This window comes from Homo sapiens, chromosome 2, assembly GCF_000001405.40.
Source record: "Homo sapiens chromosome 2, GRCh38.p14 Primary Assembly".
Classification (NCBI taxonomy): domain Eukaryota; kingdom Metazoa; phylum Chordata; class Mammalia; order Primates; family Hominidae; genus Homo; species Homo sapiens.
Genome location: NC_000002.12, coordinates 205,068,509 through 205,094,631, shown reverse-complemented (window position 1 = coordinate 205,094,631; position 26,123 = coordinate 205,068,509). Strand labels below are relative to the sequence as shown.

At 35.1% G+C, this 26,123-nt stretch overlaps 1 protein-coding gene across 17 annotated transcripts in view; it reads right to left on the bottom strand.

Annotated features, from left to right (window-relative positions):
- The window catches only part of PARD3B (par-3 family cell polarity regulator beta), a 1,074,688-nt gene that overhangs the window by 525,531 nt on the left and 523,034 nt on the right, over positions 1–26,123 (bottom strand). Inside the window, exon 1 of one of the 17 annotated variants that reach the window (XM_017003289.1) lies at positions 530–687. The exons of the other annotated variants lie outside the window; for them this stretch is intronic. Within the exon in view, the coding sequence (XP_016858778.1) occupies positions 530–532 (3 nt within the window). The 5' untranslated portion in view covers positions 533–687. Of the gene's footprint in view, positions 1–529; positions 688–26,123 lie in introns of those variants that run through there. 17 annotated transcript variants of the gene reach the window in all.

Genomic DNA, 26,123 nt, shown 5'->3' with positions numbered 1-26,123 from the left:
AAAATTTTTAATCCACAGACCAATTCCATAGCTGTGTCATGAACAGGGTAAGAAAGAAAAGAAAAGCACACTTATTCGTATGTGTGCTTAGTTTGGTAGTACATTTAGAAAAAAAAAATCTCAAAATTTAGGAAGCCAAAACTGTGTTAAAGAATTTTTTTATAACTATTAGATAGAGAACCGCATTGACAAGCCATCTTAGTTCATGAATAAGGCAAGTTCAAGGACTTCTTGAAAAGGTCTTTTTTATTGCCTATCGTCTATAAGCATTTCACCCTCTTCTCACCCAGACTCAAACCTTCCTGACTTTGCCATGTGCATCTGTTGCTCTCCTATGACCTTCATATATCTTCCTACACAATCATTTCGCCATTCACTTTGTCATTCTTGCATTTCACTTTGTGACATCTTTATTGGAAGCCTCTAGTTTCAAAAAACAATTTCACAGCTTATAAGACCTACTGAAAATAAACAATTTGGGGAAGGGTTTTCTTCAGACAACCTAAGAGGCACTTGAAGCAATCCTTACCATGACTTATGTGAAGAAGGAGGAACAGCGGAAGAGTCAAAGACAACTGTATGGAGAGAAGTAGGGTGATCCAGAGCCGGCTACACCATCGTGGGTTCTTATAGCATGTGGAAACACAGCTTGAAATGAGGTGCAGAGGTCTGAACTGCTGAGAGCAGCTGTAGTCATGGGCAGCAGTCAGCAAAAGGTTTGTTTGTTTTTTGAGCAAGGGTAGAAACACAACAAAGAGTTAGGAGAGACTCTGCAAAAGTAGCTATAGCCAGACCAGAATATATTCTGATCACACAAGGAAACCACCATGCATTTCTATTTAAATACAAATGTTTTAAACTTAAAACTTTACAGTGCTTGAGAGGTAGAGGGATGCACTGTCCCATTAAAATAATCTATTGGTTATCAATAGCTAAAATGTAAGCTCCAAGTAGGCAGGCAGTGGTTTTTATCTGTTGTGTTCACAAATATATTCCCAAAGCTTAGAACAGTGCCTGGCAAAGGGGAGATGCTCAACACATACCTAGATACACCAGTTTTCTAGAATACCATTGCTTGCCTGGCAAATATCCAGCCATCTATACCTTCACACCCAACTCAGTATGAGCCACTTTTTCCCTGAACACTCTGCATGGACTCAATCTCCCTCTTCAGTGCCACTTTCATGCCATGTGCAAGCTCTGTCATGGCATTCATTGATCTCGGGGTAGGTGAAGATTTCTTTACAGGTCTGTCTGCCTTGCTTGGTTCTGAGAGCTTTGAGGTGGGGAATGAGTCTCATCCATCTTGGTATCCCTGTCACTTAGCACAGGACTGAAATACAACAGATACTCTACTTGCAAGGGGTTTACTGGGTAAACAAATCTGTTCCTTTTCCTTAAAGGGTCTTAGTTAACTTTCAATAGAATATATATTTATGACGTCTGGAGTATTATGCTAGACTCCATGTGCAGAGTATTGTGCTGGACTCTGGGGGGATTCAAAGATGAATATGACAATATGATACTGTCTCTGCATTCGAAGTTGCCAGCCAGCTGGAACCATTGCCAGAGGCATCTCTGGCAAGAGAATTTAAAGTGCAATTGAAAGCTAATCTTTATTTATGGATTGAAATAATTGAAGTAAAAGAGAATGCACTGATTTGTACCTGGCTGGTTATGTTTCTTTACATATGCACCTATATTTTATTTATTATAATGTAATTTAAAATGACTTTCATTATTTATAAAATACATTTAAACCAATATTTAAAATCAACTAAGTTCCACAATCGCTGGAAGCTTGAGTTAATCACATTCTCACCAGCTGAGAAAGGAAACTTCCATGCTGAAACCTCCAGATCCTGAACCTACAGACTAGAGATTGTTGATCAGTATGGGGACCTTACACTTGAGGCAAGACTGCAAGCAAGGCCCACCATCTCAGAAAATCTGTTTTGAACCTCTTGCTCGATATTCCTCTCCTCTTCCAGCTATCTCTTTTCTTTAGACTTAATCGTGGGTCAAGGTAGAAACAACTCTTGGGGCAACTGTCCTCTTCCATTGCTCTTTCTTCTTTCGGCATTTCCTTAGCCTTCATTGGTGCATCACCTCCCAAGTACCTCCAAACCCTTCTCCTCCTCTGTTCCTAGGATGCCCTGAAACTCTTTCATAAGCTCAAGAACTTCCTTAAGTATTGTCTCTGCTACCTTGATGTAAATGACAATAAACTTTCCCCAAAGAAACCACTTCCTCGGCAACCCTATGAAGTGAGACATGATCATTTTCTTCATGCTGCCCACTCTCATCCTGGAGCTGTTTCTAGATAAGAATTTCCTGTTTCCTCCTCTGGAAGCTGCCCCATGCTGCTTTACTATTCCCTTTTCATTGTCCACACCTGAGAGTCTCCAAGTTGGTCCTTCAGCACTTCCTCTTGCTCCATCATTTTAATTAATATTTTCTCCCTCTCTCATGCCTTATCTTTTAGTATCACCCTGGGTGACATCCATGTCCACAGGCATCTTACACCTTGACCTCACTCAGTACCTTCTCCCTCTAGTAGCCTTCTGCTTTAGGAACTCTGTAATCAAAAGCAAAATTGAACACGGGAATTCAAGGGAAAGGTTTTTGGGTAACGCTCATTATTCAACAAAACTATATCATCAAATGAGAAATAACAGGGCTAGCAAACCCATAGCAAAACAGGAATCATTCAGTTCACAAGTCCTTATTGAGGGTCCCCTTTGCTCCAGTGCTAAGCACTGGAGATACAGAGATGAAAAAATGTATACACTTTTTGCTCTGAAGAGTCCATTCTGGGGAGTAAGGAGCACAGAAGCTGGAGAGAAGATACTAATGAATGGCCCGTCTACTGTTCCCCTTTGCATGTTCTATAATTCAACTCAACTGAGCACCAGCAAGATCCCAAACACACTGCTATTCTTTCTCTAACCTCACCCCCATTCCAAGTGTAAGATAAGAACTGATATGTAGCTGCTAATCCAAGCCCATATCTTTGACAGAATTGTAAGAGACTTGTAGCACTGAGATGATGATAAATGTTTTCGCAGACACATCCTTAAATAGTGATAGCTCTGTGGGACCATATCTAAATAGGAGAGGTGGTGGTTGCTAGAAACAACAACAACAAGCCTGAGTGAATGTGGGGAGGATATTCTAATGGCCACCCTCCTCATCTATTTCCCCGAGAAGGTGCAGAAAAGTGAGAGGTCGCCAATGCTGCGATCTTTTCTGGAGCCTCTTTGAAAATACATCACTCCACATACAAACCTCCCAGTGTAAATGATGCAGTTTGTGCCACGGCAAAATTATGAATTATTACAAGCTCTGGGCCTTTGGCTTACATGTAGTATGTGTATATGATTTCAAATGTTGAATCCATAAGTACTAAAGGTCTTATGTTCTTAACTTCTATTCCATTTGTTGGCTACTTTGGGGTTGAAAAACTTCAGCCTCTAATGCTTAAATCTCTTCCGCTAACCCTGCATAGACAATTACTAGAATAACTAGAAGCAGCCAAGGTGTACTATAATCAGATTGCTTAATTTACATATTTATAACTGCTTCTATTAGACAGTGATGATTTAATCCAAATATCATCTCTGGATTAATCCTTGAATCCCATTCAGACTCACCAAATGGGTAGTTAGTTGAGCAATTGTTTGGGGCCAAAATCCTATGCAATGAAAACTGGTAGAGGATGAAATTGGCCGACTGTTTACACATTCTGATTGCTTTTGCCTAAGAGCTACAAACCAGCTTCATAAAGAACTTCCCCACACTAATGGGCCAATCTTTTCCCATAGCATGTGCATCACTGCCCGTCTCTCTCCACTTCCACTCCCAAGAGGCTCCAAGAGCACAGTGTCTACACTCAGTAAATCCTCATGAAGACTGACCTGGCTTCTAGCTTACAAAGTTGGAAGAAAGAAAGCCATGTAAAAACACCTCCGGTTGTCTGCCTGAGTTTTATTGGCTTAGTTTATAGTGGATACTCATATTAACTGACTGAGTGAGTAAACCAACTTACCCAACCTGCCATCTGATTGTGAAGCTGACTGCAGCACCATACTCCCTAGCAGAGGAATGTGGGCCAGCACTCCTTTTCACAAGTGCATGCAGAAATAACAAACCCCAGAGAAACTGTTGTAAATATTTGGATCTTTCCTGAACTGTACTTTTAATATGTTATGAGAATAATAACAAGGAATGGTTAAAAACATACATGAAGCAGTTATGTTTCAAACCTGTAACAGATCACTTACTCAATGCCACATGACACAACAAAACAGTGTCCCAAATGAAAAAGAGGAAATCTTTTTAATCAAACCTTCCCTTGGTATGAACAAAACAGAGATTTTCATTTCACTCCAGTTACATTAAGGTTTCTCCCACAGCACTATGCCCAATCACTCCGCCATATCTAATTAGTGAGGCAACCTCACACTTTTAATGAACTCCCAGGGTTGCACAGAAAAGCACATGCTTCCTGACAGATAAGAGTTTTTAAGCACAGTGGTGATGTAAACCTTGCTCTTCTCTTCTTGTTACAAGGGAAATAATTCTGTAGCTGAGGGTACTCCGTTGATGCACCTCTACAAAATACAGCAAATCACCTCTTCACTTGTGAGGCAATCAAAGCAGATTAAAATCACTGCATTTAACAGCTCTTCAGAAGGAATGGCAACTGGACGCAAAAATGATAGTTCTATAGAATCAAACATATTGGTTAATTTTCTGTGGATGACCTTCCTCTGAGAAAGGAGCAAATTACAGATATGACAATAAAGAAAAAAACCTGGTTTTCATTCTTTCTTAAAGACTGAAGTACATGCATACAGAAACAGTAATGGTTAGGACATCCACTGGATACAAAAAAGTTGAACAAAATAATTGACTCAGTCCTACCCTTGACTTCAGGAAATGGAGAATCAATGAGATTTTGGACTCAGATTTGCCATCTCACCAGAAAGGAAAAACAGAGAAATGACTGGTTGTTTGGTAGTTGGTGTACAGCACTAGGCTGAAGTGCCATGGACAGTGAAAGGAGCCAGGGCATGAAATTTGTTTGCTGACCTCCTACTTTGCCCTCCTCAGTCAGATGGTCAGGTATGTCCCTATCAAGGTGGCACATATTTTATGAGTAAGCCCAAGGATTAAGCGCTTGCAGAAAAAGAGAGTCGGGGAGGCCAAGGTGGGTGGATCACCTGAGGTCAGGAGTTCAAGACCAGCCTGGCCAACATGGTGAAACCCTGTCTGTACTAAAAATACAAAAATTAGCCTGGCATGATGGCAGGTGCCTGTAATCCCAGCTACTCAGGAGGCTGAGGCAGGAGAATCGCTTGAACTCTGGAGGCGGAGGTCGCAGTGAGCCAAGATCATGCCATCGCACTCCAGCCTAGGGGACAAGAGCGAGACTTCATCTCCAAACAAACAAACAAAAAAAGAAAAAAAGAAAAAAAAAAAAGAAAGAAAAAAAAAAGAGAGTGCCCATGAGTTATGGCCTCACTGCAGGCCGGGCATGGTGGTTCATGCTTGTAATCCCAGCACGTTGGGAGGCCAAGGCAGGTGGATCACGAGGCCAAGAGACTGACACCATCCTGGCCAACAGGGTGAAACCCCGTCTCTACTAAAAATACAAAAACAAATTAGCTGGGTGTGGTGGCGGGCACCTGTAGTCCCATCCCAGCTACTCGGGAGGCTGAGGCAGGAGAATCACTTGAACCCAGGAGGCAGAGGTTGCAGTGAGCTGAGATCAGGCCACTACACTCCAGCCTGACGACAAAGCAAGATTCCACCTCAAAAAAAAAAAAGACAGTCATAAGTGTTGCACCATTCTATATACTTTGCATTATGATTGGCAGTCATTCCCATAAATCTCTATTATTGACACAAAGAGGTTGAGACCAGGAGGCAGAAAGACATACAAAGGAATAGAAAGGGGACAGTGTAAGTCAGTAACTCTCTTCATTAATGTGACATGAATTTGTCTCACTGTTCCCAGAGTTTTGCCCGAACATAGTGAAAGTTGAGGGTTGATTTTTACTTAACATAGTTTTCTCTTCCTCTGAATTCTGTGGCTATGGTCCAAATGGTTTAAAACAGAGCAAAACTGCTTGGTTTTCTTTCCCATTATTTTTCAAAGCAACTCAGTCATCCCCCCAAGCCCAGCTTATCACATTTTACCCTATTATTTTAAAAAAGAAATATAACAATCTATTTATTTTCTTTCTGTCCACTTGGATTGAATAATTCAATCCTCAATGTGCTCATGCATCTAGATCTAGTCTTATCTTAATTTATTTCCTTATTTATGCTCAAACTCTGTCAAATTTTAATCCTTCCCTCTAAAGGAAGTTACTCTGTACAGCTGTCAAATGCATCACTGAGTACGTTTCTATCATGATCCTCAGTTTCCATTAGGGTGCTAATGATGACTTCTCAGTACTGGAAAGACTGGTGAGTGCCCATGAGTTATGGCCTCACTGCGGGAACTCAGTCATCATTTGGATCACAGTTGCAAAATCTTTAGAGCCTGACACTATTTACCTGTCTCTGAGAATCACATTCATCTAGATGCCATTGCACAAAAATAGCTTTCAATTTAAAACTGCTGTGAACTAGAATAATTGGCTTAACTCTGATGTCCTTATGATTACACTGTCACATTAGAAGATGCACTTTAAGTATTTTTTTTGGTATGACTTCCGATCAACACACGATATTCACATGGAATGATAAAACACCCATTCTGTCTGAATAGCTATGATGGTCAGGGTCACTTCAAGCCTGGTAGAGCTGTTTTTCCTTTTTGAAAGAATATTATTGGTGATATAATTTTGCCATTTGAAATGCCTAATACTAACACGGATGAAATGGTGACATTCATCCCAGGTTGATTGCCCAATTCAAACCACCACTCTTCATAGACTTTTTACTTTTACTCTATCTACTTTTGAATAAGGTAATATCATTTCAACAAATTCTTAACTTTATTGCATTCATTACTCTCATTTGTAACAGTCTCATTACAAAAACAGGTTTTATAAAATGTAGACAACCTACTAAAATATTCCAAATTTTGTCCATAATATTGAAGACAGCAAGAAAAAAAAAGAGAAAATGTACAGATCAAATGGCATGCTTGATGGCTTTTATAAAAAGCTAAGGGGCTTTGAGGGTTATAAGAAGCCAAGTCCTGTGACCCACTTAAGCCTAAGGACCACTGTAATTTGATTGGTATAAAAAGAAGTGAAGCAGCTAATTTATGGAAAGTACATTATATGATGGACAAAGAAGGATGACAGTTTTAATCAATGGAGTAGCAAGGTTTTTTCTTAAAAAACCTGTGTTTTGTTTAAAGCAAAAACTTGAAAGAAACCAAATGGGGAGTTCACAACTTTATTTCCCAAACTATAGAATATTTTCCATATTCAGTTTGGATGTACTTTTAAGTTCAGACGCCTGTCTTTTGTTTGTATTATGAATACTCTCCTCATCAAAGAAGAGATTAAAAAATATGAAAAAATAAAAATGCTTAATTAATTTTGACAGCAATTGCCTTAATATGAACTGTTAAACACACTTGGAAGACTCTCAGCAATGAAAGCTAGAGGAGGGCTGCTAACAGTGCCTATATCTGAAATCTAAATTTCAATTATCTGCTGTATTTACAACACCATGCTTTACGATGTGCCAGAAGGGATGGCTTAGTGGTCTAAGCATCTGGTTTTCAATTGCCATATTCCCTGAATTGCACAATTTGATTTATTAGGGGCTGGATATGCAGATGAGTCACACCCACCCCTGTGGGCTTCATCATCCAGTGGTGAATTGACAGAGGTGGTGGAGCAGGGGGCTGGCCCTAAATCTTTGCTTCTCTTATAACTGCATTAGACCCTATGTTGACTGGAGATTAATTTCTCTCTCCATTCTTTCAGGAGTGCCTCCAAAGGTTTCCCCCCATTTCCTCCACCACTGTCATGAAACGTATAAAGTAGCAAGGGATTAATTACTTTAAAACCATAACAAAAATATCTAATAACCAAAATACTGTCACAGTAACTACAGTTTTCAAATCATATGCACTGGGAAAAAAATTGACAGAGAAGCAACTGAAACCATGCAGAACTAGGTGTGAATGGATGCCTTTGGACTTAGGAAATACAAAGAGACCTTTGTAATTGCTCCCACATAAGCCACATGTTTACTCCCTTTCATATTCTATGTGCATCTTCATGGAAAATAAAGAGGCCACATGAGATCCCATTTAGAATGCTCCTGTCATATAAATATGTCTGCACTATATGGCTTTCCAAAGAGGTGCACTTCAATACCCATTTTGTAAAGTGTATTATTTCTGTAATATTTACTGTCACCTGGGGGAAAAACCAGTAGGGCTTGTTGAAGGCTTCACTAAAATAACAAATTAAGTGAGATTAGAAATGCCATAATTAATTAAGCCAGCTCTCCTTCACTTGAAAGGCTGGAAACTATACTGAGTGGTAGTAAACTGCACCTACTAATAAAGCTATGCAACTAATAAAGCAGTATGTTCTTGCTAGCAACAGCATCACCACAAGTTCTTGAAGGCATTAAACTTGACCTTTTATTGTTTCCCAGCACTCTCCCAAGGTTCCTTTCTGCAATGAACAATTCTGAGCACATTTTAAAGCTTACTTTGGAAGATACAGCCTTATATAATGTATCAGAATGATAATAATTTGCACCAGTGCAACCCAGTCATTCATAAATATGATAAAATAATGAAAAATATATTGTTATATTTCATTCCTCAAATGAATACAAAAATTAAATACCTTCAAATATAATTAAAATGTAAATATATACTGAATATAAAAATAGCACTAAAGGTTTTAGGGCCAATAATTTGATGGAAAATACCTAAATTAATTTAAATAATGCTAACTTTAAGATAAAAAGTACAAAGAAGGTGAAAACCCCAATGGTTATTGTTTAAAATACATAAATGTCAAGGAAAAGCAATGAATGATAATGTATACATTTCTTGTTTAAAGGAAAAAATCATATCATGGATAATTTATAATTTAATATGAAAGAATGCTTTATAATGGCAACAATTTTTACATAAAAATAAACTCAATTTTTAATTAAAAGTATTTTGTTTGAACAAGGGTCTATTCTTTTTAAGAAAAAAGTTCTAAAGATTTTCCATGTTTTAAAATGAAATAATGAAACACGGAGATTCTCAAACTAAAAAAAATAAAACCAGTGATCACTGAATGTCTCTTACCTTTAGCTAAGAGTCATATCTAAATATGACAACATTGAAAGGCAGCAAGATACATTAGTAGGTACTAACTTAAAAAAACTTGTACTACTATGTTAATATCAGACAAAAGGCTGTCAATAAAATATTACTAGGGAATTAAAAGGTCATTAATTACATAAAGAAAAAAGAACAATCCAGAGAAAGATATAATAAATTCCAACCTACGCACCTAACAACGTAGCCTCCTAATATAAAAGAGGGATACAATTATAAGGAGATTGACAAATCCAGCATCATAATGGAGACTTTGATGTACTCTCAATAACTGCCAGCTACTACAGACTAAAGGATATCAGGTATTTAAGCAGAACAGCTAGAAACTTCGGTATAATCTTCAAATGAACATAGAAAGTGGCATCTAATAATGTTTTAAAGCAAAGGCATACATGAAACATATTAGGAAAGGAATATATAGAGAAAAAGTTTATTATTTATTCTTATAAGGAAAGGAACATATAGAGAAAAAATATGACCATATACTATGACATAAAACAACCTGAATAGACACTAAAGAGCCCATAAATACACATCTTACATCTTGTTCTCTGACCACAGTGCAATTAAGATCAATAACAAAAAGAAACCTAAAAACGAGCAAAAACCTCACCACTGCACATTAGGAAACTTTATAGGAAGTATGTTACCTAAACAACATACATAACAGAGAAAGTCACAATAAAAATTTAGAAATATGTAGAAATGTATAAGAAATTACATAACAACATTTTAAAAATTAAATGTTTATTTTAAAAGAGAACGATTGCAATAGGTGATAAAAACATCAAATGAAAGAGTGATGGTGAATTATATAAAGGAAGGATTGGGTGGCTATCATCTGAACCCTGTGCAGCAATAAGACATGTTCCTTACAAAGGGATTCAAATAAGTAGTAAGCTGAAAGCACCACCTATGAAATATTCTTGCTGAAAGAATTATCCTGAATCCAATCAAGCCTCTAGATCTAACTACAGAAAATTCAGGGAATGAAGAAACAATTTAGATGATACCATAAGGCAGCAATCTGCTAATTCCAGGATTGTTTTCTATATATAAAAATCTGTTTTTTCACTAACTTCTAAGAAATTAAGATAAAAAACAGAAAAACAATTATACAATAAGAATGCAAAGAGTCATAATAGACAGAAGCAACGTGTAGGTGCATTTTAGATTCTATTGCACACAAACTGATCCTTAGATTTTTTTTGAGATATTTGAATAAGTTTTAATATGGACGAAGTATTAGGTGATATTTAAAGAATTATTCACTACTTTTGTCAGATGGAATGATGACACAGTGATTTTGTTTAAGAGTTTCTGTTAGGGATGTACACTGAAGTATTTATATATAAATGTCGTGATGTTGGGAAGCTGCTTTGCAGTATTAAAGTAAAATTATGAAATGGGAAAATAAACAAGATGGCAATGTGTTGCTCATTATGGAAACTAGCTGATGGGTACATGGAGGTTCATTATACTAATCTATTTTTGTGTATGTTTAAAATATTCAATCATAAAGATGTTAAAAAAGTTTCTAAACCATATAAAGTGTTGAAAACACTAAAAAATAAGCCTAAAGAAATGAAAAGAAGACATGAATATAAAAAACAAAGAAATAAAATAGAAAATACAGCCACATTTGAAATCATTAATTTTGAGGGCAAAAATTGTTTCCTCAAAAAATAAAACTAAAAAAAAAAAGAAGAATCAAACAGAAAAGTCAATGGTAAGACTGATAAACATAAAGAAATGAAAGAGAAGAGGCACAAATAATATTAAAATCAAAGAGAGGGTATGGTCAGGAAGATGTTTAGGTTTTTAAAACCATAATTGGCCCTTTTTCTACCATGATGTTGATTTTTATAAGTGAAATCAGCCTATTGTTCATCCTTTCATACCATTCTTACTTAGTTTAAGACTAGATGAATTTCCAAGTAACTTGGAAAGTTATTTCCTCTTTTTTTTTTTTCTATTCTTAAAACCACTTTTATGCTACTGAGGTTATGTATCTTTTGAAGATCTGGAAGAATATTACTATATAACAGTCTAGTACCTTTTCCTATTTTAAAAAAATTGATGTATTTTGGCTGGGCACAGTAGCTCACGCTTGTAATCCCAGCACTTTGCGAGGCCAAGATGGGCAGATCATGAGGTCAGGAGTTCGAGACCAACCTGGTCAGCATGGTGAAACCTTGTCTCTACTAAAAATACAAAAAATTAGCCAGGCATGGTAGTGTGCACCTGTAAGCCCAGCAACTTGGGAGGCTGAGGCAGGAGAATCACTTGAACCCAGTAGGCAGAGGTTGCAGTGAGCCGAGATCACGTCACTGCACTCCAGCCTGGGCGATAGAGCGAGACTGTGTCTCAAAAAAAAAAAAAAAAAAGATATATTTTAACTTTTGGTGTAATTTCCCTTAAGATTATGCTTCTAATTTAGGCCTTCGATTTTTCTTGGAAGAGGCTTAGTTAGTAATATGTTGCCCATTAAAGCAAAGGCTTCAAATTTATTGGCCTGAAGATATTTAATCTCCTCTAAAATAAATTATCTAAGCTTCCACTTGAAAAAACTAAAGAACAATTAAGCAGAATAAAACAGTATAAATAAGAATGGAAACCAATAAAATGGAACATGGACATGTAACAGGAAACAAAATCAATGAAATCAAACTGATTTTTTTTTGAAAAGATGAAAAAAATTAACAAACACCTAGGCAGAATGAGAGAGAAGACATAAATTACAGTAGTGTCCTCTTATCTGCAGTTTTGCTTTCTGCGTTATCAGTTTTCCAGGTTTGAAAACAGGTGAGTACAGCACAAGAAGATATTTAGAGAGAGACAGAGAGAGAAAGTGCACACAAGCATGAAAGCAAACACACATTTCCATGACTTTTATCACAGCACATTGCTATAATTGTTCTATTATTAGTGCTGTTAATCTTACTGTGCATAATTTATAAATTATGCTTTATCATAGGTGTGTGAGTATACTATAGAGTTCAGCCCTATCCGTGTTTCCAGGCATCTACTGGGGATCTTGGAATGTATTTCCTGTGGATAAAGGGGGACTACTGTATCAATGTCAAGAATGAAAAAGGGAACACCACTGCAGATTCCACAGACAATAATAGAAAAACAAAGGAATTCTATTATTTATGCCAATATATGACAATTTATATGAAATTGACATATTTCTTGAATGACCCAATTACCAGTAATGATCCAATAAGAAAGATGGAACTTAAAGGGCTCTATAGCAAATGAAGAAATCGAATATATATTTATAAACCTTGAAACAAAGATAACTCCAGGCCGAGATTACTACATCTCAAACAGTTGAGAAGGACATAACTAGTCCTACAAAGACTCTTTCAGAAATAATAAAGAAGAGAACACTTTCCCACACATTATATAAACTAGCATTACCATGAAACCTAGGCCATATAAATACATTACTCAATAAAGAAAGTCAGGGACCAGTAACACTCATAAATAGAGAGGCAAAAATATTTAATCAACTGTTAGTAAATTAAACATAGCAATATATACAAAAGATAATATTATCTTAATTAAATCGATTTTCACCAGGAATGCAAACTTGATTTAACATTCAAAAATTCACTAATGTAGTTTACCACATTATCAGACAAAAGAAACAGATGTAGAAAAAATATTTGACAAAATTTAACACTCTTCATGATTAAAAACTCTCAGCCTATTAGGAACAGAAGGAACCTTCTTCAACCTAACATAGGGAATCTATTAAAAAACTTAGAACTAATATCATATTTAATGGCAAAAATCTAAACATGTTCTACAAATATTGAGAAGATCGTCACCATTTCTATTTAGCAGTACAATATAGGTCTTAGCATCATAGCAAAAAAGGACAATGGCATAGACTAGAAAGTAATAAGTAAATCTATATTTTCTCCATAAAAAATAAATGGTGCTGAGTGAACTATGTATAAATATATTTTTAAAACACAAATGTAACTCTAGATTATGCCACAGAAAAAAATAAATTTCAGGTAGATTACAGATTTTAAAATAAATGACAAAAATAATAATACAACTTCATAAAAATAGGAAAGAATATGCTTATGATTTGGGAATAGGGAAAGATATATTAACAGAATATAAAAGCACCATCCATAAAGGAAAAGATTGATAGATTGAACTAGCTTAAAATAACTATTCACCCAGGTTACCAAATAGAGAGTGAAAAGAGCAAGACACAAGCAGATACCCACAACCCATGTTTTTGATAAAAGGGTTGTAACAGAGAATATATAAAGAAAATCTACACAGTGATGAGAGAGAGGAGGGAGATGGATGAAATCCAATACAATTATGGGCAAGAGACCTATCTATATAAGTCTTCATAAAATAAACATGGCCAACAAACATATGAAGAGGTGCTCAACCTCCTTAATCCTCAAGGAAACGAAAATTAAACCTAATTTTATACCATAAAATACCCATCAGAATAGCTAAAATGAAAAAGGCAAACAGTACCAATTATTGATGAGGATATGGAATTCCTACTGTCTCATACTGCTGGTGTGAGTATAATTTAGTATAGCTATTTGAAAACTGGTATTATACACACAGCCTTTAACTCACAGTGTACAGACTTAGCAACACATGTACATTTGTGCACCAAAGACAGTGCAAGATGCTCATAGAAGCATTATTAATAATCCCAAAGTGGATAATTCAAATATTCATCAAGAGTAGAATAAAACAGATTTTTAGATAAAAGTAACAATGGATTTATAAAAACATAGCGATGAATCAAGGAAAAGTTAATATAAGGAAGAGTATTCTTATTTTTTCCCTTTTCATATCAAGGAGTAAGAAATATTGGCCAGGGTGGGTAAATCAAGAAATAGATGTTTAAGTATATTATTTAAAGCTATAAAGGCAACAATTAATCTGAAGATAACCATTAAAGTGAAAATTATACATAACCGGAAGCAGAGCAGGAGAAAGGGAGATAGGAGGTAACCTAAATGTAAGAAATTACTCATTTACAATAGCAGGTAAACAAGAGTAGATATTCTGTAAAGTTGACAAATCAAGAAAAAGGGGAATACGTGTAAAATTTAATTTTAAGTTTTATCATAGCCACCTTAAAAATGTAAAAACAGCAACTGTGATCAGGGGTTGCCTGTGGGACTGAAACAAAATAGGAGCCAGGGAGGCTGAGTTTTCATTTTACTTTTTTATGATTTGAGTTTTGAGCATGTGGATATATTAATTCTATAATAAAAATACTAGTTTAAATGTACACAGATAAAAGGCTCTCAGCAAGAACCTGAAAAGTTCTAATTCTATACCATAGCTCACCAACTTGAACTTACTGGAAAATGGTTGATTTCTGGGTAGTAAAGTATGAGTACAGAAAATCTCTTAGAATCTTTAAATAAATATAAACTATATGGTATCTGCCTGTGATTTTATAATTCATGGAGAATTAAACTCTTAAGCACATTAATTTTTACGTTAGCATAATCTTATTAAATGTTTTTTGGTTAAGATATAAATTTATGGTTTATATTATCAGCACACATTATTTATGTATACTTAGAATAATATATTACTAATTTCTAAAACTTATTCTCAGGAGGTGCTATAATCTCCCTCAAGATTTGTGTGCCCTCCAAAATTCATGTTGAAACTGAATCCCCAATGCAACAGTATTAAGAAGTGTGGCCTTTGGGAGGTGATCAGGTCTTGAGTGATCTGCCCTCATGAATGGCTTAATGCCTTATAAAAGGGCTGGAGGGAATTGGCGAAGCCTTTTTTGTCCCTTTTGCTCTTTTTGCCCTTCTGCCTTCTGTCATGTAAGGATACAGCAACAGGGTGCCATACTGAAAACAGAGAGAATCCCTTACCAGACACCAAATCTGCTGGTGCCTTATCTTAGACTTCCTGCCTCTAGCAATGTGAGAAACGAATTTCTGTTCTTTATAAATTACCTAGTCTCGGGTATTTTGCTATGTATAGCAGCACAAACAGACTAAGACACAAGGTAATAATAACATTGGATTAGCTTTTTGAGATAAAGTAATTTATTTAAATCATGGTTATCTTTTAAAACACATCATGTAAGAACAGATCTATGCAATGTATTGAACCTACTTGTTCTGGTCGTTATTGCTGCATAGCAAATCATCAGGCAACTCAGTGGTATAAAGCAATATGTATTCTGGTTTACATATTCACATCTCATAGAGTTTGTGGGTCAGGGATTCAGGAAAGGCTAAGCTGGGCAGCCCTCGCTTGGGGTCTCTCACAAGGCTGCAGTCAGATGTAGAGTCGGCTGCTGCCAAGGCTCCACAGGTCTGGGCATCCATGACGGCTCACTTACGTGGCTGGCCATTGATGCGAGCTGGAAGCTGGGAGATCTGCCATGGCTGCCAACTAGATTGCCTACACATGGCCTTTCTAGCAAAGTGGACTCAGAGAAATGGACTTTCTTACATGGCATCTGGCTTGTCCCAGAGCAAATGCCCAAGGGAATCAGATGGAAGCCACAGGTATAGCCTTTTCTGAACTAGTCTCAGAAGTCACACAATGTCTGCTGCACGCTATGATTTTCAATTAAGTCACTGGGCCAGTCCAGATTCAAGAAGAGAGGACATTAGACCTCAGCTCTTCACTGAAACAGTGTCAAATATTTTATTAACATGTTTGACAATCTCCACACTTACCCTATGGATTAAAAAAATTACATGAATTTAAGCAAAATACTACAAGTTTAAATTAATGAAGTCACATTTACTTTAAATTTCTATCTTGATAGAATACTTATGTGAACCCTAATGGATTAAGTAGCATTCATTAAGAGACAGAATTACTCAGGAAAAAAAGTGGGTCTTTGGTCTATCTTTAGAAAAGAAATACTCTCACCTGAAAACATAAAAGGAAAACCATACAATTAATAAAAATTATGAAGAATGATGCTGCGATAGCCATTGAGTGAACCTACAATACTAAATTGCTCTGTCACATCTAATAAAAGGAACAAAGCTAAATTATAAATACCCATTCAGAGTTTTGAATGCCTTAACTTGCTAACTAAAATTCTCAAGGCTCCTAATTAGCTCAGGTTAAACATTTAACCACACAAAAGCACCTTTTCATAAATAAACTATATCTCACTCTTAATTACATAAATCACCTTTTTGGAAAGCCATGCATGTTATACAGACATAAACTGACTCTCTGGGATTAAAATCACAATGAAGTCATTCTTAATTATTAAGTCAAAAACCAAAGGGCAGCATTTTAATAATTAGGTAAGTTTAATTTGTGACAAATGCAAATAACTACTTTCCATTAAAAGAGACATTGAAATGATTATGTGTTCTATTCCTTTATAAACTTCCCCACCTCAACACAAAAATTCCTATGGCCAACTCTCTTTTGTTGTTTAAATAGGAAAGTAAGGAGCTATGAAGTGATTAGTAGCAACACAGGTATTCAACTGAACAGTCTCTTTTAAATAAGTGCTATTTCTTAATGCTCATGTGTTCTATAATCAAAAAAATCCCCAAGGATATATATATATATCCCAGACGTCCCTATTCTGTTATCTCTCAGGCATCTCTCTCACCTATTCTCTAAGAAATCATTGCATAGGTTTAAATTTCCTTGGAATCATATAATATTTCATTAAAAATAAGATTTGGAGGGGTACAGAAGGCTCTGCATTTTTGGCTTCTTCAAGTAACAGAGATCACTCTCAGAACTACAGAATGCATGAACTTCACGGCTTTCTCTAAAATCAAGCACGCATGCATCAAGAGAAACTGCCAGGCAAATACTGAGAGTGTTCTGCAAAAGGGTATGACTGAATTGTTACTTATCTTTTATTCTAGACCCAAGTTCTTAAAAACAGAAAAGAAACAGAAAATTCGCCTTGAGCCATGAAACTTGAGAACTCAAAGGGAAGTTTTCTGACACTCTCAACTGATGAATAAAACTGATAAAAGCAAAACAAAACCAAGCAAAGTTCTGTAATTTGTTCAAGGCTCTAAAGGAAGCCAAGTCCCTGATCTTTCAGGCCTTTTCAAGTACCTGTGGCTTTTGACATTTCTTAGAAATGACAATACTCCTCCCTCCCTCCCTCTCTACTCACCTGACAATCTAAATCTTGAGAGAGATATATATATTTGTTTATATCTATATATAGACAAAGATAATGAAGCAAACGATGTGTGATTGGTGGACCGGATTCAGGGGCAACTTTGTTGCTATTAATGAGTTGTGACGCAGTGAGTATTTCTCACAATGTCTTCTATGGGATGTTAGTGGATGGTGCTTCCAAAATGATCCTGCAGTCAAATAAATTTAGGAAATAGTAGTTTACTCAGAATATTTAATTTGCTATATTGTGAACTCATGGAGGGAATATAGTATGTAGCATTTCCAGATCTTAATGAAACACAGATTATCTAGAGCAGTGGTCCCCAATCTTTTTGGCACCAGGGACCAGTTTCATGGAAGGGGGTGGGGGAAATGGGGTAATGGTTTTGGGATGAAATGGTTCCACCTCTGATCATCAGGCATTAGTTAGATTCTCGTAAGGAGCGTACAACCTAGATCCACAGTTCACAATAGGATCCACACTTCCATGAGAACCTAATGCTGCCACTGATGTGACAGGAGCCTGAGCGCAGGCAGTGCTTTCTTGCCTACTGCTTACCTCCTGCTGTGCAGCCTGGCTCCTAACAGGCCATGGACCAGTACTAGTCCATGGCTGGGGGCTGATGATCCCCAATCTAGAGAGCTAGAAATCTGTGGAACAAACTTTGAGAAGCCCTAAACTATATACATTGAACCTGAAGTATGTTAACATTTAAGATAACATTTATTGAAATGATATGGAACTCAATCTGCAGTCTCCTCAGATGTGATGCTAAATGTGGAAAGGGTAATTAGCATAACAAGAGACAAGTTATTATCCAGAAGTTTTAGACATCCTTGAAGTCACCAGCCAGATTAATGGGATTGTTTGAAGCATTGGTGACCAATACTTTTGACTGACTTTAGTTATTTTCTTAGCTGCATCAATCTAGTTATATAAGAATTACCCAGTTGAGACTATAGTTAACCAGACAGCTTTAAACCTGCACTGTGAATCTAAACCTGCACTTCAGAACTTTACAAAGCAATTACAAACAGAACCACTCTGCATCATGAAGTTAGGTAAAACTGAAAGTTTAAAGAAAAGAAAGTTCTCATAAGACACAGGATACTGCACGAATTTAATTACTATGATGTTCACTGTTAATTATAAAATAGTTGTAATTTATCATATAAAATATATAATTTCATAGCTTTAAATAATTACAAGCAGTGGTTCATTTTTGTTGTGGGATATTGTACTAATATTTATTTTTGATGAATATTAGTTTTATCAGTTTGAACATTACCATCATGTTTAAAATTTGATTCCTACTTTGAATGGTACAATACAAAGCAAAAGTATGTGTTTATGAAAAAAGTTTAACCATAGAGATCAAGGAAAATGTTATTTTTGGAGTGTCTTGTATATTTTCATGATTGTATCAGAAAAAATGTCTATCAAAAATTCTTTTTTTTTTTTTTTTGTTAGAATGGCAAAAATTCTTATAAAGGTAAGGCAGCTATGGTCAACATCTTTTAAACTATTTCTTATGAAGAAATAAGAAGTATAGAAATAATTTTGCAACCTAAAAAAGAGGTAAAATTTCTTGTCTTCTTGAAGACAAGTTGAATTTTAAACTCCCATAGGCATATATATATTTCTTAATATATGATCTTGGATTTTCCTTTTCTTTTTTGAGGGTGGATTAAAATGTTATTGAGCTAAGTTGTACTTTCTATATATTAATTGTAAACATAATTTTCATACGGGAGAATTTAATCATTGTATGCAATAATTCCTATCTTCACCATGAGCAATGAAAAGAAATCTACAAATAAGTAACCAAAGTTTACTAGTACAAAACTTCTAAATTTAAGGAAGAAAACATTATAAGATAAAAATGCATTGTCTAACTTTCGGGAAGCTCTCAAACATTCCTTCACTGTGAAATCTGATGTGAAATACCTATAGGTCTGGAAGGGATGGTCTCATTACAATACATTATGTACAATCCTCCATTTAAAGCCATTTCAAATTGTAAGTAGTAATGTTTTTAAAAGGTCATCCTATATGGTTCTCTTTATTCCAGTAATAATGAAAACATTATTTATTAATGAGTTTGATTTATAAAATTGTACCCATTGCAATTTTTGCCTCTGGGCACTACAACAAACTTAAAAATATTCAGTGAGCTACAGAACACTTAACAATTATAATTTGGAAACAATACACCAACAATGCAATTTAAACTGATATTGGATCATTTAATTATATTTTGATGTAGAATAACATTTGTCTAAATGACCTAGGAAAATATGGAGTCTTGGAAGATTGTTATTATTAAGGATTAAATTGGAAAGCTGGCAGCTTGTTTTTTGTTTTCTTTTGAGCGCCTGTGAAATAGAAGGGGAATCTGGGTCATTGGGTGCTGCCATTTACAGACTAAAGAAAAGCCACACTCTCAACATTTGTAAATTTTGCGATGCACAATGATCGAGAACATTGTACTATGCCACAGCTGCTTCCAAGTTTTAATAAACCTCTTTGATACATCAGACAGCCATGATTACTAAGAGCTCACCTGATCACAGCATTTTCACTAAGAATGACATAGAGGGCAGAGCAACTAAGTCAGTAGTACCATTTTCTATGAAGATAAGTTGTTGTTCATTCTGAATGCAACAGGCAATAGATGACATACGATAGTTTTTCTGAAGTCGTTCCATAAACTACTATTAAGTTCTCCTTTCAAACCCATCAAGGTAGAATTAGATGATTCCTTTACCAATTAGCAACTTTTAAAAGTTCAAATGAGTGGAAAATCATTGATATATGCAAATATATTACATAAGATATATAATTCTTAGCATAAAAGTTAATGAGACAATAGTCTTTTCAAAAGTTTTTTGTAATTAATGTCTTTGTTTTTATTCAAATAGACAATTTGAAGATTAGCAAAATTATTTCAGAAAGTGCTATATGAATCAAGCATTTTGACACAAATATTCTCAATACAATCTGAACTTATAAATGAGAAGCTCTAGGAATGAATGGATCCAACTAGAAAAAGATACATTTAAATAAAAGAAGCAATGGATATTTAAAATAAGCTTTTAAAATGTCCACTAAGATTAGTCATACAACAGCCTTACCATTTGTCTAATGGGACTGAAGTGCATTTTGTAGAGATCCTGTTAATAAGATAAAGAGGAATATGTGTGGGCTAGGTTGTTCACATGTATGTATATCACAAGAATCAGCCCTACAGCTTCAATTTGTTGTTTATAAGCAGTGAAACTACAAAACACTGGGGATCATTGTTTATATTCCTTATTTGGAAATGTTTCAGGTTTTATATTCAACACATCTTTCCAATAATAGCTACAGATGTCATACATGTGCCTAGGGCTTTTTAATGGTTTCCTGTTCTAACGCCTGGTGTGAATTGAACAAAATATGGACAATCCTTGCCCTTTTAGGGAAAGGGGGAAAAAAGCAACAAAGAAACATAATCAGGTCTAAAAACAAGTTTATCCTACTTTGTACAAAGAAAACAGAAAGAGTCTGGGGAAGATAAACTAATTTCTACCAGTTTCTGCCTACCACATATACACTAACTCAATTTAGATTGATTTGATAATGTCTACAGACTTACTTTCAAGGTTACTATATACATTTGGACTTTTTTTCCCGAAAAAATAGCATGAGATGAAATGTTGTCTAGTTCCATTTAATTTTATTTCAGTTTTATCTTGGTTTCTTACTTCAAAGCAAATAAGACAAGTTTTTCGACATCTTTTCAAAATTTACCACAGCAGGACACCACCAGAACCAATCTTCTTTATATAGAATAACACAACTTTAAGCAAAGGGATGGTGATTTTTAAAACACACCCTGATTTACAGGAAAACTGCTGTTTACACAAGAGGGGAATAAAATAGCTTTATTTTACATTTACATTTTTTAAGTGGCCCACTTTAATTCACACAAATAACCATTTATTCAGCTCTAGGGTAATAGAAAGGTAATTGGAATAGTAACCAAAAAACAAAATCTTAGTTCTTTATTTTCAACTAACTGGCTTTTTGCTAATAATGTTTGTATTAAATTTCATGGATACCGTTTAAATGTTTAAAAGATATATATTAAAATTTATGAAGATAGGACTTAGGAAAATCACTTAATCCCTCTGAAATTTAATTTCTGCAGTTACTGTATATCATATACTGAGCAAATTGAAGAAAAACAGGACATTTCTATCCTTAAGGAGCTAATGGTTTGACTCTCATACATAAAATTTTAATTCTAATCTATCTCATTGCATGTTGGTTTTTAAAAGTTGGTATCGTCGCTTTTACTAAATAGAATTAGTATAACTAAACTAAGAAGTATGGCCATAGCAAGTAGTGCAAATTATTTTTTAAACAGTAAATGAATGCAGTTACAGAGAAGGATATTATTTTCTTCCTCATTATTTTCAATTTTTCTATTTAAAATAAGTTTTACCAAGAAAATGTTATTTAGACCTTAAAATATCCAGATTATACTGTACCATAGTTGTGAACCACTGATATGAAATAAAATTTAATTGTCTCCACCTATACTTTAATCCTCAGCTGGGTGCCGTAGGTCATGCCTGTAATCCCTGCGCTTTGGGGAGGCCACGGTGGGTAGATCACCCAAGGTCAGGAGTTTGAGACTAGCCTGGCCAACGTGGTGAAACCCCGTCTCTACCAAAAATGTAAAAATTAGCCAGGCGTGGTGGCGCACGCCTGTAATCCCAGCTACTTGGGAGGCTGAGGCAGGAGAATCGCTTGAACCCAGGGGGGCAGAAGTTGCAGTGAGCCAAGAGTGCGCCATTGCACTCACTCCAGCCTGGGGGACAAGAATGAAACTCTGTCTCAAAGAAGAAAAAAAAAAAAAAAGGACCTGAATTATTTTAATTATGAAGTCCAAATACAAGTTTATAAGAATGTAAGCAGTCTTTTAATGTGGAATTTTTGATCATATTATTTAATGCCTATGATTTATTAATGACAGGAATACCATCGTCAAACTATATCTTATTTCTTTACAACAAGATGAATTAAAAGTGTGATGTTTACTATTATGTGAGACTACATATATTTTTAAGAAGAAATACAAATAAGAACTCATAATTTATAGCTTTTAAAAAAAAGCTAATTCACAGAAAACATGAGTCACACAAGCACAAAAATTGCTCAAACAAGTGGCTAAATCTGCTTAAAATGTAATGACCAGTGTTTTGCATTTTTTGTTTTTTTTAAGATAAAATTTGGATCTATAGACAGCAATGTGAGAGTACCAACAATTAGAGAGAGTGTGTAAAAGTGGCAGTTATGTTTAGGAAGACAGAAATTCTGGATAACAATAATTTATTTTAAAAATTACTATGTGTGTATCTCTGTATACACACACACATACGTGATACACTACAAAGTGAAAAGATTCTTATTTCAAATGACTTTACATGTTAATGCTTTGATGGTACATCTTTTGTTGTCTGTACTAACAGCAGTGCTGTTATTTAAAAACATTTACATTGTAGAATAAATCAAATCCATACTTACATTAAAGTTAATAGCACTCAAGACTCTCAAGGTGAAAGAGAAGCAATTAGAAAATCAAAGAAATTAAACTCAGTGATAAAACAATTATAGACATTGATTTCAACTCTGGATTTTAAGTGTATATATTCACATATTTTCCCTAAGTCTGGCCAGAACATGATACAGAAGTAATTTGTTCTCAGGAACAAGATGCACACCTAGGACCGGAGTTTGGTTTCTAGGACCATTCTCTACAGATCTTTGGCGAGAAGAATGGCGGCAAGTGTGGGGCAATGAAGGTATATAGTGATCTTGGGAAATCTTGCTGTTCCATAAAGGAAGGAAACTTGTAAGAATTAATACAATCATGTCAAGAACCCAGAAGCTAGTCTGAAGGAGCTTCTACTCAGCAAAGCTGAGACATCAGAAAGAAAGATCATGGGTGATTTGCACACACTGTATTTATGAAAGGCTGAGTCCACAGTGATAAGAAAGAAGCCAAAGAAAAATCTTCTGTCATCATTTGACACTTCCAAGAAACAAATTTACTTTGAAAACTGGCCATTTAAAACCCCAAATTAAGTGGTTTTTTTTTTTACATTAACAGTATGCACTTTATTTCCAGGTAATCAAATAGCCCCAGTTATAGAAAGCTGTGGAAAGCTCTACATTATAAAAGAGTGCGAGCAAATGTAGAAGAAATGAAATAGTTAAAAACTGTTACACTGCAAAACTTAATGAAATTAGTATTTCAGCATAAAATTGTTAGTTATAAAAATATTGACAGTAACTGGACGTAGTGACAAAGTTAGTTCACAAATGATTACCTATTGTTTCAAGTAGAACATATTGATGCTTGCAATGGATGGATGAGTTTGTCACCACCTTAACCCAATAATCAAATTTAGGTTACTAATGGCGAAAAACAAAACAAAACTTATTATGTATCTTTTGATCTTATACATAAGAAGTATTGCTATATATCACCTATGATATAGTATTGCTAAAATGTTTAACTTACATTTAAGCAAGGCTTTAGTACGACTTTCAGCTAACAGAACCTACAGGGACAAGAGGAACAATTCAAACAACTTTACAGGGAAGCAATTAAATTCATGCAAAATGACCTGCTCAGAGACAACTGGTTGGTTTTCTGCAAGTCAATGTCATGAACAAAGATTATAGAGATGTAAAAGACATAGCAACTAGATGCAGTGTTTAGTCTTAGATTAAATCCTGATTTAAAAAAACAGCTGGAGAACTGGGGAAATTCTAATGTGGATTAAGTATTGATATTAAAAACTGCTAATTTCATGGGGCACGATAGTGTTATATTTACAATATTAAAAATACTTATTGTTTTAGATACATATTTAAGTTTTAGGGGTTGTATGTCATAGCTTCTGTCTTGCAAGTAGGGTCCTTTTGCAGACCACTCACTAAGCAACAGGGCTGAGAATGATTTCACAATCACATAGCAAATGGGTTAAGGAACAGGCTTGGAGAAATTTAAGCCAGGAGACAGGAAGAAGAGAAGGTATAGGTTCCTAGTGACCCCAAGGAAGGCTGAGCAGAGACCAGGGTGTTCTGCTAAACATGCCAAGGGTGGGGTATCACAGGACATAGGCCACACAAACTGTTACTCTTACTTTTCATAGGATGAGCATAAGAGTAGCCTTGATAGTGGGGGATTAAACAAGAATCTTGACATGAGGCAGTGTAGAGTGTAGATACTAGCTCTTTACTGAGGTGCTCTACAAAGGCCAGCTGCCTCACACCTGGAAATCTTTGGGACGGTGGAAATTTACTATGCCTGCTGCTGGTGCCAGGGAGCCACTGGTCCCTTGAAGCTGAGTTCAAGTGCGGCTTCTTCTACTTAGGGTGAAGGGTGAGGGCTCTGGTCCTAGCTAGCTTATTTTTCAGACAACCCAGGGTAAGACCACAGAGTTGTATCAGTCAATTCTGCTTGTTGTATCACAGTAAGTATAATCTACTTCAAATTTCTGTGTTATGAAATAAAATATATATATGCTAAAATTTATGAATAATGAGCAAAGAATACAAGTAACATTTGTAGATTTGAAACAAAGAGAAAAAAGGTGGGGAAAACCTGTCACTTCAATGGTGGTCAGAAATAAAACCAAACAGATCAGTAATTACAATACATTTAAATAGATTAGACTAATCTATTTAAATACATAGATTATCAGACTGGATTTTTAAATACAATCTATCTATATGCCCCTTATAACAGACATGCCTATGGTAAAACCACACTGAGAAGTTTAAAATAAAAGGATAGAAAAATGCACCAGAAAAAAATCTAACCAAAACAAACAAGTGGTTGCAAATGTATCAGGCAAAATAGGATTTAATGAAAAATTACTAATATGGATAGAGAACTGTAGACAACTAAAAACAGCCTCAGCACACTTAAGATAAAACCTCAGAAAATGAAAAGCAGAATTTGACAAATATATAGCCACACTAGGAAATTTTAGTACATTTCTATTAGAAACTGGCAGATAGAGTAAAAGAAAAAAAAAAGGTAGGTATATCGAATATTTGAAGAACAAAATGAACAAGCTTCAGGTAAATATAGCAAAAAGTAGGAGACATGTTTTCATGTTAACTACATGTTGAATGTTTACAAAAGTTAATCATACACTAGATCACAAAATATCACCACAAATTTCAAGAAATCAGCATTATATGAATCTCTTGATCTGTATACAATGCAATTAAATTAGCAATGGGTACAGAGTCATATGTTCAAAAAATTTAAAATATACTACTAAATAATTCATACGGTAAAGGGGAAGTCAACAGAAATCAAAGCATTTAGAAATGAAAGGCAAATGAAAATATTGTGCATCAAAAATTAGCGGATGCAGCTATAGTAGTAGCTGTACTTTGATTAGAAACAAACATGTTTCAGTGCATTCATGTAAAACAAGAAAATACAAATAAATGAGTTAAGCATACAAGAAGCTAGGAAAAGGTAAAAAAAAAAATAACTTCATTCCTTGTCTATTCTTAGGCTACTTAAAACTAAAATAAAGGAAATAAAAGCAAAAGTTAATAAAC